Source organism: Homo sapiens, chromosome 20 (assembly GCF_000001405.40).
Source record: "Homo sapiens chromosome 20, GRCh38.p14 Primary Assembly".
In the NCBI taxonomy this organism is placed as follows: domain Eukaryota; kingdom Metazoa; phylum Chordata; class Mammalia; order Primates; family Hominidae; genus Homo; species Homo sapiens.
In genome coordinates this window covers 60,306,199-60,322,256 of record NC_000020.11, presented here as the reverse complement: position 1 = coordinate 60,322,256, position 16,058 = coordinate 60,306,199, and the positions used below count along the sequence as shown (strand labels likewise).

Sequence of the window (16,058 nt, the reverse complement as noted above, 5' to 3'; positions counted from 1 at the left end):
GAGATAGAGTTTCACTCTTGTTGCCCAGGCTGGAGCACAATGGCACGATCTCAGTTCACTGCAACCTCTGCCTCCTAGATTCAAGTGACTGTCCTGCCTCAGCCTCCCAAGTAGCTGGGATTACAGGCACTCACCACCACACCTGGCTAAATTTTGTACTTTTTAATAGACATAGGGTTTCTCTACTAAAAGAGCCAGGCTGGTCTTGAACTTCTGACCTCAGGTGATCCACGCGCCTCAGCCTCCCAAAGTGCTGTGATTACAGGCGTGAGCCACTGTGCCTAGCCTTATCCAGATAATTCTGATGCACACTAAGGTTTGACCAGTGCCCCTTAGGACCACAGCCCTTCTTGACTGTTAAAAACCTAGCAGAGAATAAATCCATTCTCTGCCCTCTCCCCCAGACTCTCAGTCAACCAAGACACCAGCTGGGGGATTCCGATGAGAAGCAAAGCCTGCATTAGATTCTCTTGCAGAAACTGATACTCACTGGTGATTTTCTTCAGCAGTTCCTGAAATCACTGAACAGGTGGATTTTTTCTTCCTGACTTGGCAGTATATCTTCCTCGATTCACTTACTGTTTAGAACATTTTGCTTGTTATGATTGCAAAGTCATTGTGGCAGGCAAAAATGCATTGCATGTCATTTTTCCTCATCTGCACATGGCTCTCAGGACATAAAGAGGATGTTAAAAAAAAAAAAAAAAAAAAAAGCAGGACACAAAGAATGGCCCTGCCACCATCTCCCTCAGTGGAGTCCTCTCTCTGGCCCCGGGAAGCCTCGCCAGGGGTGTTTCCCTTCACTGGGGCTATAAAATTTGCATCCTATTCATAATTACATGAAATCCCCCAAATGCACACTGGGGACAGCTGCTCCAGGGTCACATTGCCAAGGATGGCACAGAGCTAGCAACTACACCAAAAAGTCAAGCCATGGTCAGCTTGGGTGGAAAGCACCATGGGGTGAACATATTCTCCATGTGATGAGAAGTCACCTCTCCAGTCATATTCTAAGGCAAGAGTGGGAGCTGCCCATCACAGCCCAGATGTTGACCACTAGGGAGAGAAAGGGGCTTGATTCAGATGCGGTTCGTTTGGGGACACAGTGACAAGGCAGGAGCTCCTGGGGTCGCAGGGGTCGGGGAGAGGGGATAGGGTGTCTTTAGCTGATTGAAATCTCTTCTCATTTGACTGCAGGTGAAGTAGGATCAGAGGTGGATTCACTGTGAGGCCCTCATTTCCATGGGGGCTCCTTCCAAGACTAGGAGGGGCCCCAGTCATGTGTCCCTGTGGCCATAGCTTTGCAAAACTTGCTGATGGGGAGAGATTTTCACTGCAGTTGACTTCAGGCCACCATCTCTTTCTGCTCCAACTTCCCATCCCTAGGGTTTCCCTCACCTCAGGAGCTGTTAGAGGGGCTGCGGCTCTTCTGGAATGCACTTATTTAGGCTTGAGTGGCAGATTTGTACGAAGCCACTTTCACATCGAGTGCCATTGTGCTAGGTGTCCTGGGTCAGTGATGTCTCCAGGAACAACCCTGCTGCCCATGGAAATAGTGCTCCCAGTGTCCTGCCAGGATCCCGGGGCCAGATGAGCTTCTCATTGGTGCCCAGCACCAGAGGGTCTGGTGGAAGAGGAAAAGGAGCAAGGTTTGAAATGTATGGAGCCAGAAGCCAGTCTAAGAAAAATCTTCTTATCATCAGACACGCTATTATCAGGAGAGGATTCAGTTCTCATTATTACCTAGTCAAAATAAATGTTCTCCCTTGTAAGGAATAATTTGTAATGCATATACACAAATGTAAATGAATCTTTTTTTTTTATGGGATGAAAAAGAATCTAAGGACGGGTGCAGTGGCTCATGCCTGTAATCCCAGCACTTTGGGAGGCCGAGGTGGGTGGATCACTTGAGGCCAGGATTTTGAGACCAGCCTGGCCAACGTGGTGAAATCCTGCCACTACTAAAAATGCAAAAATTAGCTGGGTGTTGTGTGTACACCTGTAATCCCAGCTACTCAGCTACTTGGGTGGCTGAGGCACAAGAATCACTTGAACCCTGGAGGTAGAGGTTGCAGTGAGCTGATATTGCTCCACTGCACTCCAGGCTGGGTGACAGAGCAAGACTGTCTCAAAAAAAGAAAGAAAAAGAATACATCAAAATTCTTGTGTCTATAGGACAAAACCTTACCCAATGCCACATGAGTCTGTCTGTGTGACCATCTGCACGTTGCATGCCACCAACTATCCATAACTTTAAAAAAAAGCTTTATCTGACCACACTAGAGGAATTATCTTTCTGTCCTGTTAAAAGCAATACCAAACATTTTTGTCATATGAAAAGGCAAAATGTATGCAAGAGAAAAATGTAGGAAAACGTACAATACAATCAGGTAACTATTAAAATATTCAATACTGTATAGTTTTGTGACGTACAGAAATTTAGCAGCTTTTAAGAATTTAAATAAACCCCATTCCTAATTTTATATGTGTCATTTTGTATGTTGTTTTCTTTAATTTTGAGCCCCACACAGCCTGGATCTGAAAGGGCTCATTCATCCATGCGTTTGTTCAGCAGATGCTTACGGAGCCACCACTGCAGGCACAGGCAGCAACGCAGCCAGAAAGAAAGCTGGTGCTGGTGTCAAGGGGTGAACAGCCAGGTGGGGGACATGATAGTCAGCATGTAAACAATCACATTCACGGGAAGCTGCAGAGCTGCAAGGTGGAGGGAGCAACAGAACCGCAAGGAGGAAGGGGAAAGGGTACTTGCAATGGGCTGGTCAGGAGGACCTCTGAGGAGCTGATGCTTAAGCAGAGACAAGGGTAATGGGAAGGGAACAAGCAGGCCAGGAGCTGAGGAAACAGTGTGCAGGGGCCACGACACATGCAAACGTCCTGAGACTGTGCTGGGGCGGCTGGCGGGAGGTTATCATGTTCCAAAAAGAAGAGCAAGGCCAATGGGGTCAGACAGATGACAGTGAGGGCTGGGTGGTGGGTGGAGATGGACCGAAGGGCCCCGTGAGGAGATAGCATGAACTGGCGCTCTGTCCCCATGGCTGTGATGAAAGACAACATGTGAACATTACACCAAGCAGGAAGAGTGATTAAAGGCGATACAGAGACTCCCATGTTCTCCGCCAGCAAACTTCCTGCTTCTTCCTTGGTCTGGTCTAATTACACACAGACTCCCGTCTTGACCAGTCACCCCAGAACTCATGTGTAAAGCTAATATGCAGAAATGAGGCTTACAAAAGGACAGGGAGAGACTTCCAATTAAACATCTTCTGCAGCAAATGGGAAATGGGGCCCTTTAATGTCGACTCCAGCTGGTGCATTCTAAAAGAAAACCAGGCAGAAATACATGATGGTTGGGACACTTTCTCCAAATATCAAAGCTGAATACACTCTTTTTCAACTTCAGCACAGCGATCCTTCTCTAAACAGCACCAGCCAATGGAAGTCACAGCTCTTCTTACTCCAGAGAGTTATATAGAATCAATCCCTTTGTATATATTTTTAAGCCGAGAAATTTGCATTCTCCTTGTTTTTCTTTGGAAATGGTGACTCAAGTCTTTTGCTGGTCTTGTCCTCAAAGAACAGGAGGAGTGACTATTCTCACCGGACAGATAGCTTATTCTGAGGGGAGGGCTGGGGGGATTCACCACGCCTCTGGTGTCTCAGCTGCTTGAAAATCAAAGCGGAACTCTCACAGTGGCCTATCCCTGAGCAGGTCAGGGAGCCTGATGAGCATCATTTCAAAGCCACGCCATGAGCGAGATGGAGTCCGAGCAGGCCTGGACCAGAAGCAAAGAGCAGCCGTTCACACGAGAACGCATTGCCTTCCTTCATCAGGCGGAGGTGACCACTGAAGGAAACAGCTGCAGGCTGGGTCTACAGTGGGTGTCACATAAGGAATCCCCAAGCCAGCCCGGCTGGAATTAGCTGCCACCTGTGCCTGCCCACGGGGCACTCTGTGTACATCCACTACAGCTCACGGTGCTGGAGCTCCTAGTCCCCATGGCTGTCTGTGCTACAGATCTTGAACTCTTAAAAGGCAGGGGGCATGTGTGGTTTGACTTTGCTTGATAAAAAGTCACCCCCCACCACCACACACACAGTACCTGGCATGCAGTGGGAACTCAGGAGCTATTGAATGAATGCAGTGAGCTGACACCCTGGCTGCAGGACACGGAAATGCATACACAGGGCCATGAAGCCCCACTAAGCCCATGGCGCTGAAACTCCTGGAACACCTGCTGACCACAGTTCCTCAATGGCTTTCTCCAAGAGCACATCAGAATGGAAGCACCAGGCCTCTCCATCTCTGGGTGCATACAATAACTGCATCAATACACATGGTCCAATGGTCAGCCCAATTGCTCATCTTATCCAGGAAAATCTCCATAAGAAATCCAGCATTCTGGGGGAGAAGCCTACTGGCTAGAGGACACAGAGACACACGTGCTGTGGGGCTGGAACCTGCAGGATAGCTGGGCTGGGAGGCAGCCTGAGCTGTTGGCTGGAAGTGGAACCAGCTACCTTGGAAGGAAGTGAGGTGTCTATCCACAAGCACCCACACAAAGCCAGAGGGCCCTGTTGTACTGGGAGGGAAGCTGGATGGCATTACAGTTCGCCCCTCTCAGCTTGGGTATGAATCTATCATTGTTTGTTTGTCCTGAGAAAGCACACTGCCATATGTTAACTTGGCTACTGCAGTTAGAATGGATCAGGAAAAAAACCTTACTATTCCTATTCATCAAATCATTGCCTGGCTTATTGGTTGTACAGACTTCACGGATAGGGAACCTGAAGATCATATCCAAGGATCAGAACATTTTCTGCAGAGGAGATGTAGAGTCCAGGGATGAACCTCCAGGCTCACCTCATGCCTGCTGAGAGGCACCTGTTTTTCACTCCTTGACTTTATGCTGAGTCCTGCCATATGCCAGATGCTGCTTTGCAGTGCAGCAAGGATGGGCCCACAGAGCCTCTTCTAGCATGGAGATTAATTCTGGTAAAGGAGGACAGCAAAGAGCCAGTGACAGCATGCCCCCAAAATGAGCACAGCTGTGATAGGGCATGAAAGAGGACAGAGGACAGAGCTAGAGAACTGCACAGAAGGCCAACTTAGGGGTGGGGTGGGTGGTGCAACAAAGGCCTCTCTGGAGAGGTAGCATCCAAGTTGAGACCTAAAGAAGAGAAGGAGAGCAAGATGAGCCAGGCAGAGACCTTCCTGAAACAGGAAAGTATGTACAAGGGCCCTGTGGTTGACAGGGAGGGAAACCACAGCCTGCTGCGGGGCCGGATGGGTGAGCAGTGCTGCAGTGGCACAGGGGAGGGGAACCATCAGTGTGGGGTCCTCATGACCAACGCCCCAGAGGCGGAACACAGAGACACCATTCAGCAAGAACCAGCTTTGATAGGAGACTTGGGGAACACAAGGATAAGGCATTTGAGGTTCTTTTAAAGCTTTCTGCAAAAATCACATCCTCAGAGGTCTGGACGTGGGGATTTGGAGCAGGCCTGAGTCTGTCTGGCTGCTGAATATTTCATGCAGCCTCCTCGGCTGGCTGGCCCCTCGGTGCTGGGCATGGTCTTCCCCTTCATGCATGATTTACAGGGCTCTGCATTAATGCCCCAGCCCCATTTATCCTGGCCTGCTGACCATTAGCATGAGCAAATAAATATACATTTCCAAGAGCCCAGATACCCAGCCTGAGCCCAGTCTAGCTGACAGCTTTCCACTTTCTCCTAATCACAGGAGTTAGGGGACTGGAGGGCGGGGGACCACCTGTTGTGTGAGAAGATTCCAGAACCGCCTGTGGATTGGATTTTTTTCCTCCCTCTTCCAGAATTTTTACCTTAGAAATTCATCATTCTCTCTTTCCCTTTTGGGTGATAGACAGTTCTTTCATGTACTGCTGAGAAGATAATTCAGAATTCTGTTTATTCTAATGCAGTTCAAAATGTCTGTGACTAGCATCTGAAAATAGCTCTGTGTGTTAAATACTGGCAGCCAGAATGCTTTTGGAGCCTGTTTCTCACCGTCCCCGGGTCCTCCAGCTTGTCCATCAGTCTGTCTGTGTCTGTCTGTGTGAAAAGCAGCTCCTTTGTCTCAGGCTTTGTGGGACTGGGCTCTGTGGGGCAGTTTGGGGGAGGGGAAGGTCATGGTTGGATATCATTTATGGTGCATGTTCTGCGTGTTAAGCTTTGTGCTGGGCCCTGGGAAGGACTCTGTCCTTTTGCAGCTTTCAGTCGGTTGGGGAGACAGGCACTGAATGGGGAAATAGACAGTAAAGAGACATTCACTAACCAACACCACGGTGACGGGGCTTACATCCTACGTGGTCCTCGGATTCACTTCATTTGGGGAAGCTATTGCAGAGGCTGGGGCTGGAACCAATATGGCTCACAGGGAAAGGAGCAGCTGGAAACAAGGGAAGTGGGAAGCAGAGAGGTGGAGAGGGAGTGGGGAGGGGTCCAAGGTCAAAAAGCCAAAGGGCCAGGCTGAGGCATCATCGGTAGAGGTGTGAGTACCTGGGGCAGGTGTCAGGAGGGGAAGGAGTCAGGGGTAATCACATCAGGGACACAGGAGCTGGCTCTGGTGGATGTCGCCAGATTATGAAGGGGAAATCTGGGAACACAGCACTCATAAGAACAATGACCAAATCCAGCTCCTCAGTACGTCTGGGGCATGTGGGCAAGGTGGGCAGGGAAGGCCTCGTGTGCTGTGGCCCTCCCCACTCTCCAGCCTTATTTCTTGCCTTTTTCCCCTTACTCTGCATATTCCTAGCCACAAGGACCTCCTCCCAGTTCCTTGAATTCTACACTCCCTCCTGCCACAGGCCCTTCGCTCAGGCCACCCTCTTTTCCAAGAACACTGGTTCTTTCTCTCCACTCTCAAAGCAACCATCACCCCTCCAGGAAGCCTTCTCTGCCCTCTCCTTCCCCAAGACTATCCCAAATTCTACTATTAGCTACTCTTATAGCCCCAGGTACCACACCTCCTTGGGGCTTATTCCTGTTGAAATTTTACACACATTGATATATTTTTTAAAAATTATCTGTTGTTCCTATTAGATTTATGCTCCTTAAAGACAGGAATGAAACACATCTAGTTTTGTTCAACACAGAATCTATGTAACTGGCCTGAAATCAATATATTCTTTTTTTCATTTTTGGAGATGGTTTCTCTCTCTGTCACTTAAGCTGTAGTGCAGTGGCACAATTATAACTCACGGCAGCCTTGAACTCCTGGTCTCCTGCAGGATGGATGGATGGATCAATGGAAGGATGGATGGCAGGATGGATGGATGAATGGATGGGAAGATGGATGGATGAATGGATGGGAAGATGGATGGGAGGACGGAGAAATGGATGTATGGATAGATGGCAGGACAGATGTACACATGGGACGATGGATGGGAGGATGGGAGGATGGGAGGATGGATGGATGGATGGATGGATGGATGGGAGGATGGGAGGATGGGAGGATGGATGGATAGATGGATGGGAGGATGGATGGATGGGAGGGTGGATGGATGGAAGGGTGGGTGGATGGATGGATGGAAGGGTGGATGGATGGGAGGATGGATGGATGGGAGGGTGGATGGATGGATGGATGGATAGGAGGATGGATGGGAGGATGGATGAATGGGAGAATGGATGGATGGATAGATCGATCGATGGATGGATGCGAAGATCGATGTGAGGATGGATGGGAGGATGGTTGGGTGGATGGATGGGAGGATGCATGGGAGGATGAATGGGAGGATGGATGGGTGGAAGGAAGGAAGGAAGGAAGGAAGGAAGAAGGAAGGAAGGAAGGAAGGAAGGAAGGACAAATGGATGGGAAGATAGATTATGGGAGGATGGATGGATGGATGGATAGCAGGATGGGTAGGAGGACAGATGGATGGATTTTCAATCCTTCCACCTCAGCCTCCTGAGTAGCTGGAAGTACAGGTGTGCACCACCATCCTTGGCTAAGAAATGAATATTGTTAATGAATAAATGAGGAAACAAGTGAATGTAGAACTCAGACCTCAGAGGAGATAAAGATAACTAGACCCTGCAATGGCAGAAGGGCAGGTAGTGGATGACAGAAAAGTGCCTGAAATCTCCCTATGAGAATCACTGTAATCCCAGATTTCAGGATTTCAGACCTCTACTGAACACCCCCCACCCCCATCACTTAGACTATAACAACTTTGCTGAATTTGAGACAACTAAGTTGTACATCCAGGTATTTTATCCATAAACCATCAGGTAATGCAATACTTGTACTGAGCTCACCTGGGCAAATTGCTTTGAATATAAAAAGTCAGCATCAAAATGCAGCACGTGTGACCTCCCCACTCCTGAGAACTCACTTGATCACATTCCAGGCAGGTTTCTTCCAGCGCTATGTGGCTGGGACAACACGTAAGCTGAAGCTGCAGAGCAGCACCACTGCTGCTCAGCTGATGTCCTCATCCCACTCAGGCCACCAGGAGACGCCCCATGTCTCAACACACAGACCAATAACTCTAGGTAAGAGCTCTCTAGCCAGCGTCTGGCCCCTGTTCCACCTAAGAGGCTGCCAGGACTGAGCATCAGGAAACAGATGACCTGGTTCCTTCTCATTATTATTAATGTGGCTTGCACATCCTGAACGCTGAAGTCTTTTGGCTTGTTTCAGGCACCCACATGTATTTGCCAAATGACTTATTTTGCTTTAGATTTTTCAGGGCACAAGTGTAGAGGCTGCCTCCGTTGGATGGCATGCCCGTGGCTACAAACTTCTCCACGATACCAGGGCTAAGGGTAACTTGATAGGAGGAAAATGAAATCCCACCCAGCCCTGATGCCAGCACATTCCTTCGCTTACAAGCGGGCCAGATGCTCAGGGCTTCTCCATGAGTTACGGTGGCCTGAGAGTCTTCATTGTCAACCCTTTCAGCAGGGCCTGTGATGCGGGAAAGGGATTTAGTGGGTTAGTGGCTTCCGCACATCATCAGCTCTTCCCTCCATTGGCTACATCCCACGTACTTACAACATATTCATAATCACTTCAATTCCCAAACTTCAACCCTGCTCTTTCCTCCCAATACAACCCTTGACTTCTCCTCTTCACCTCCAAAATTCTCAAAAAATGTATCCTCCCCTTGCTACCTCAATTCTTTCTGTTCATACCTTCATCACTCTTTATATCTTTGCCTTGACTCTCAGTGGACTCACACAGAGGCCCACCAGAAGACCACCTGCAACTCCCTGTTGTCTACAGCCAATGTCCTCTCCCCCACCATTGTCCTCCTTGACCTTCAAAGCATTCAGTCCAAGAGCACAGCTTACTCATCACTGCCTGTACTTCATATCACACCTAGCACCTAGGGAGTACAAAATATGTGTTGACTGAGAGAATGATTAAGCAAAGGAGTAAATACATATACAGATAAGAATTTCCAACCCAAGGTCCTGGCTCAATTTCTTCTGTCTAATGTAGACTAGAGAAGACTTTAGCATCTCTTTTCCTTAAGGAAAATTTTTTAAATGTCTTTATACTTTTACTCATGGTTCCCTGAAAAAAAGATGTGAAAAGGGACAGCTCCGAGGTCATCTTTATGAAAGTTAATTCTGACCTGGTACAAAGCACTAGGATTTTTCACATTTAATTCTATAGGAAATTTACTCTAACTGAAGTTTACTTTAAGAAAATACATTATAGGGAAAATTGGAAAGACAGATTATGAGATATTTTCAGGGCCATCAGAGTGACAGATGCCCCTTTCTAAAGAGGTTATAAGCCTAATGTGTGAGCAAACTTGATCAGGACACCCACTCTTCATTCACCCATCTATCCATTTATTTAAGAATGATTTGTCAGGGGCTTACCCTGTGCCAGGTACTGTGAGCAAGACGGTGAGAACTCCTACCTGGATCCTCATAGGTAGAACCCCAGTGGACAATATAAAGAAATAAAATGCATAATACATTTGGTGTGACCACAGCTAAAGGGGAAAGCAGAGTGGAGAAGAGAGTGGGTGCAGGGCGTGCGATGGTGAATAGGGTGCCCAGAAATGCCCTTACTGAGAAGATGACATTGGACCTGAAAGAAGACAGGGCAGAGGGCAAGTCAAAAGCCTCACTGGCTGGTGGTAGGACCAAGCTCTGTCTCGTTCTCCCAGGTACAGGTGTTGTGTGTTTGTAGCCCCTGAGCTTTGGTCCTCACTAGTCAAATCTCTCCTGCCTCCTGCTGCCTCCCCTTCCTGGATAACTGCGGCGGCATCTCTGGGCAGCTCTCTCTCTAGTTTACGTGGGTGCTAGGCTCCTGCCTGAAGATCAGCTGGGGCACAGCCACCCTGCATAGTCCTTGTCTCCTTCCCATGGATGATGGATCCTGCTCCCCTATGCTCTGCCACAGGCAGAGAACTGAGCTAAACAGACTGACCACAAAGGATCATGGAGGGACCCATTTGACTTTGGTCTCACTTTCTTTGTTTGCAGAAACTTCTCAGACAAAAGGCCCCAGGCCCCTTTGCTGCATCCATTTATACATTTTGCCCTCCATCACTCAGTTCTCCACTTGAGGCTTAGACGAAGTGGGTGGGTCCCACTTCCATCTTCTCTTCCCGCACAGCCCCAAAATTGGGGAGGAAAAAGACCCCAACATGCATATTCCTAGTCTCCCTGGAATTAGGCCTGCTTCCCTTAAGTGTATGTACCTCCTGTCCTCACAAACACAGCCTAGAAGGTGAGCACAATTCTACTTCCAGATGGGGCAGAATGGAGCCAGGTAACTTCCCGAGGTTTGCACAGGTAGGAAGAAGTCGTGGATGCAGAACTGGGACTTAGACCCCTGGACTTCAGGTCTGCGTCCTCAACTAGCATGCTACGTTGCCAGCTGGAAGCAGAAACCAGGTCTCTCTTTTGGGTGGTTGTATCTCTGGTGTACAGCATAGCACCTGGTGCATTGTGGCTGCATTTTCAACATTTGCTGAATGAAAGAAGGAGGGAGGGAGGGAAGGTGGTAGGAAGGGAAAGATGTAGAGCAGAGCCTGGAGGGGTATCAATCCTCCTGCTCAGAACCAGAGACACAGCTAGCTGGAAATACCCAGACAGACGCTCCCGGGTCTGCCCCTACGTTAGTCAGATGCATAACTCACGCATAACTTATCCACAGGTCATAAAACTTGCGGGGGGAGGGGGTGTCGGCCTCCATCTTTGAATTTCATGCATAAAATTTGCATGCATAATAACCTCTGCCAGATGTTCACAGGTGACAGACTTACAACTCTCCTCTCTTTCTGCAGAGCCCACCAGGTCACATCCTCAGGTTACTGGTAAGAAAATCGTCCAACTGCCAGGGCAGACATTCTATTCTCCTCTATAATTTTCACTGCTGAGCAATTAAAAATGAGCCACAGGCCTGCCAGAGAGCTGCTCTGAGAGACTTCCCAGGTCTGAGTCCTCATCTTTCTAGCTGCCGTGCATCAATGGAGACAGATGGCCCCGGGGCCGGGAGGTTCCGTTTTGTGGAGAAAGGTCAGCATGTGCCGCTTTGATTCCCTGTCCCTGACACTTGAGAAAGGAAAATGTTTATGAAGGCAAAGCCATTCCCAGAAAAATCCAACAGATCTCTGCAGTGTAGGCTCCACTTATTCATGCTCTCCGTGTTCTCTTTTTTTTTTTTTTTTTTTTTTTTAAGATGGAATTTCACTGTTGCTGCCCAGGGTGGAGTGCAATGGCGCCATCTCGGCTCACTGCAACCTCTGACTCCCGGGTTGAAGAAATTCTCCCGCCTCAGCCTCCCAAGTAGCTGGAATTACAGGCATGCACCACCACACCTGGCTAATTTTGTATTTTTAGTAGAGACGGGCTTCTCCATGTTGGTCAGGCTGGTCTCAAACTCCTGACCTCAGGTGATCTGCCCACCTCGGCCTCCCAAAGTGCTGGGATTACAGGCGTGAGCCACTGCACCCGGCCATGTGGTCTTTCATGTTAGAGAACCAACCCAGAGATTGAAAAGAGCCATCACCATGTCCCTTGAGGTAAACTGCCTTGAGATCTCAGAATGGGGGAAACATTACAGAAGAAACCCTCTCTTGATCAAAGAGGGGTGAAAGCTGCATGTCGTAAGCATGAGTCTAATGCTGGGAGCTGAGGGCTTTGACACACGGTTGCCCCCTTCTGATTCATATGGAGCCCCCAGGACTCAGGTCAAGAAGCTGGGTACAGGTCCAGCACCCCCACTTCCTCAATCTGGAACCGTGTCCAATTTCTTCTTGCATCTCAACTTCCCCATCTTAAACTGGGAATAATACGTATTCCAGGATAGTTTGAAAAATTAAATGAGAAATGAAAAAGTATAAGCTGATGACCACTGTTGTCCTGTATCGTCTCAGCTGGCAGGCACAGCAATGTGTATTACCCTTTCACACATTTGACTCTTGAACACCGTGGGGGATTAGGGGACCAACTGCTCCACCGCCCCCTGCACAAGTGAAAATCCACAAGTAACTGTTGACTCCCCAAAAGTTTAACTACTAATAGCCTACTCTTGGCTGGAAGTCATACTAATAACCAACAGTTGATTAAAACATTTTGTATGTTATATGTATCCTGTGTTCTTGCAATAAAGCTAGAAAAGAGAAAATGTTAAGAAAATAAGAGAAAATGGATTTTCTCAATTCATATTCTCTATTCATTTTCTCTATTCATATAGATTTTCTCTATTCATATAGATTTTCTCTGTTCATATTCCACTATTCATTAAGTGGAAGTGGACTGTCATAGGGTCTTCATCCTCATGGTCTTTGCATTGAGTAGACTGAGGAGGAAGTGGAGGTGGTCTTGCTGTCTCTGGGGTGGCGGAGGTAGAAGACCACCAGCATGTAGGGGGACCCATGCAGATCAAGCCCCCTGTTGTTCAAGGCTCAACTGTAATTGCTTTTTGATCCATCTGATGAAAAAGGCTCAGTTTCAGAATAATGTATCTTTGACACCTCACTTTACTCATTTATCTTTTCAGTAAAGAGCACAGTCCTTGGACTCAGATCCTTTGATAATTAATATTTCATAAAGATGCATTCCCTTTTTATTGTATTAATTATTCCTTTATCTCCTATTAATACAAATGACACTGGCTTTCCATCTGTGTAACTGGTTCCTTTTGAAATAACTATTTCAGCTTAACAAGTCAACTAAGGTGACAAAAACTAGATCATAATAGAGACAATACTTAGACGTAGCAAAATTGCAGGGAAGAAATGCAGTGCCAGTGGATGTGGCCAAACCCTCAGAGAGGAAAGAGGCTGAGGCTGGACAAAGGCTGATGTTGGCGACACGTGTGGGGCAGCATCAGACGTGTGAGACTGCGTGTTTCTCGTGTGTGTGTGTGTGTGTGTAGAGAAAGAGGAGGAGAGGACCCACACCAGAACCAGATGCTGTATGGGGTGGAAGGGGTGGACAGGCCCCGCATCCAGGCAGCCTTCTCCCTTCCCCTCCACCTGCATCAGCTGAGCATGTGAAGTCCCCCTGGCAGGCCCCCGTGCAGGGACTCAGGATGCAAATTGGGCCCGAGGTGGAGGTGGAGGGGTAGGTAAGATCACCTCCTGCTTTGGCTGTTTTCTTCTTCCCGCTGGCAGCAGGGCAGGACCCTGGGCTGCTGTTCAGCTACATTCTGACCTGCATGCATTGGGGTAAAGATAGGCCACTGAGCCTGAGGCCTCAGAGGCAGCTGCTTCCTCTCCTGGGATCACAGGTGAAAAGCAGGTGTGCTGACTCCACTGGCAGACTCCTGATCTCCAGGCTTCTGAACTGTCCTGGCTGTGGTAGTCAGTGCTGTCCTGGCAGGTTTGCTACACAGTGCTCGAGAAAACCCGGAGCCAGCCAGAGCCCCTCCTCAGCACTTTCAACAATGACCTGTAAGCATCTGTTTCCCGGTCCTGAATCCCTTCCTGCTTGACCCAGCAGAGGGGCTCTGTGTCATGAGTGAACTCTGACAGTCGCCCTACCCCTCTACCTGGTGCGTGGAAGGCAGAAGGAAGGACAGAATTGTCATGACAATGTCATCTCCACCGGATCCTGGGTGATTTGCTCAGGGCTTAGGAGCGTGTGATGACTTACACCTGACCCATCCCTTTACCGCCTATAGGAGATCCCTATCCTGCGTCTTTTCACCTTCTTGGCAGTGTGCACCAGGCAAACCCTGGCCGATTAAAGCCCCCAGGAGTCCTGCCCTCACCTGCACACCTGTCCAACTAGAAAAGGCCAAGTGCACATCTCCCTCCATCCCTGAGGGTGGAAGTTGAAGATGCCATGACAAACATTGGGTCTTCTTTTTAAATGAATTTCCTAGCCTTTACCAATCCTCCCCGCCCCCCACAACAAATTTTAAAACCCCTTTTATTTATTTTGAGAAGAGAGTCTCACTCTGTCGCCCAGGCTGGAGTGCAATGGTGTGATCTCAGCTCACTGCAACCTCCGCCTCGCAGGTTCATGTGATTCTCCTGCTTTAGCCTCCTGAGTATCTGGGACTACAGGTGCCCGCCACCATGCCCGGCTAATTTTTGTATTTTTAGTAAAGACAGGGTTTTGCCATGCTGCCCAGGCTGATCTCCAACTCCTGGCCTCAAGTTATCTACCCTCCTCAGCCTCCCAAAGTGCTGGAATTACAGGCGTGAGCGATCACACCTGGCAAAACCTCTTTTATAAGCTAAAGTGTGAAATCATATTTCACAAAGAAAATACACAGGTAGGCATAGTTTCCATAAAGAAAGAGTGAGGGAGGAAGAGAGAAAGAACTATGACCAGATTGCAAAGGGCTAACAGAAACTTGATTTTTGAGACGGAGTCTCACTGTGTCGCCAGGCTGGAGTGCAGTGGTGCAGTCTCTGTTCACTGCAACCTCAGCTTTCTGGGTTCAAGCAATTCTCCTGCCTCAGCCTCTCAAGTAGCTGGGACTACAGGCGCTCACCACCATGCCAGCTAGTCTTTGTATTTTTAGTAGAGACGGGGTTTCACCATGTTGGCCAAGATGGTCTCAATCTCTTGACCTCGTGATCTGCCCACCTCGGCCTCCCAAAGTGCTGGGATTACAGGTGTGAGCCACCACGCTCGGCCGGGAACTTAATTTTTTTAGCACTATCAGAATAACCCTGGCTCCCTGCTCCCTCTGGTTTGCTTTGATTAACATTTCCAGGACAAGTCTATGGAAATAACCAACCCCAGGCCCTGCTTAGCCTATTTATTTTCTGTAGCAACTGTGGCATTGGCTCTACAGGGTCAGATTCGTAATTAGAACTCCTTGGGTGGCAGTCTCTGTTGCTACTGCAAATACATTTATCAAGCAACACGATGTTATTTATTTCAACTCCCATTTGTTTCTTGCCACAATTTCTATCTGGAAGGAAGGCCTGGCTGTTCATTTTGGTGGGAGAACTCAATACAAAGTTAATTACTAAAAAGAAAGAATATAAAGAAGCCTGGAGACTATCCAGGACATTTCTTCCAAAACACATTCCAAGGCAACTGGAACCAAGCAAGAGAGGCTCACAGTGCTTTGAATAAGGGAAAGAGGGCACGAGGAGGGACCAGGACAATCTCCAGATCTTGCCAATCCTCGTTAGGGACCGATACACAGAAAATGAACGGCAGGAACAGGGAACTGGCTGCTTCTCACACACTCATCATTAAGGCGCTACAACAATTTTTTTCTTCCGTTTGTTCCTTCTCTCTTCACACTCTAGGAACTGCAGGGGCAGAGAAATTTAGCTGTTAGTTTTCAATATAATTGGACTTCGTTGTGGTGTGTGTAATCCCCTCTTCCCTGGTGCTGGGAGGTTTATCTTGAGGCCACTGCTGCTCTGGTGGAGTGATTGGGAACTATGTAAATATATTTTCTCTCCAGGGAAGCAGTGTACTTTTGAAGGGCTTAATAACAGACACAAAAGGCTGGACAATCTAGGAATGGACTTGGCCATGGATTGGCTCTTTCCTCCTTCCCTCCACCTTATCTGGTAATGGGAAGGTTTTAAATAGTGCTGTGTAATCCACATGACTGAAGTTGCAGAATGTGT

The 16,058-nt window shown here is 48.3% G+C and overlaps 1 long non-coding RNA gene and 1 other non-coding gene across 2 annotated transcripts in view; both read right to left on the bottom strand.

The window, feature by feature from the left end:
• The window catches only part of MIR646HG (MIR646 host gene), a 183,765-nt gene continuing 167,707 nt past the window's right edge, over positions 1-16,058 (bottom strand). The window contains exons 4-5 of the long non-coding RNA NR_046099.1: positions 3,250-3,336; positions 1-1,624 (exon numbers count right to left, since the gene is read on the bottom strand). This is a non-coding gene — a long non-coding RNA (MIR646 host gene). The remainder of the gene's footprint in view (positions 1,625-3,249; positions 3,337-16,058) is intronic.
• MIR646 (microRNA 646) lies at positions 13,690-13,783 on the bottom strand. The gene has a single exon (NR_030376.1). It is a non-coding gene; the product is annotated as a microRNA 646 (primary transcript).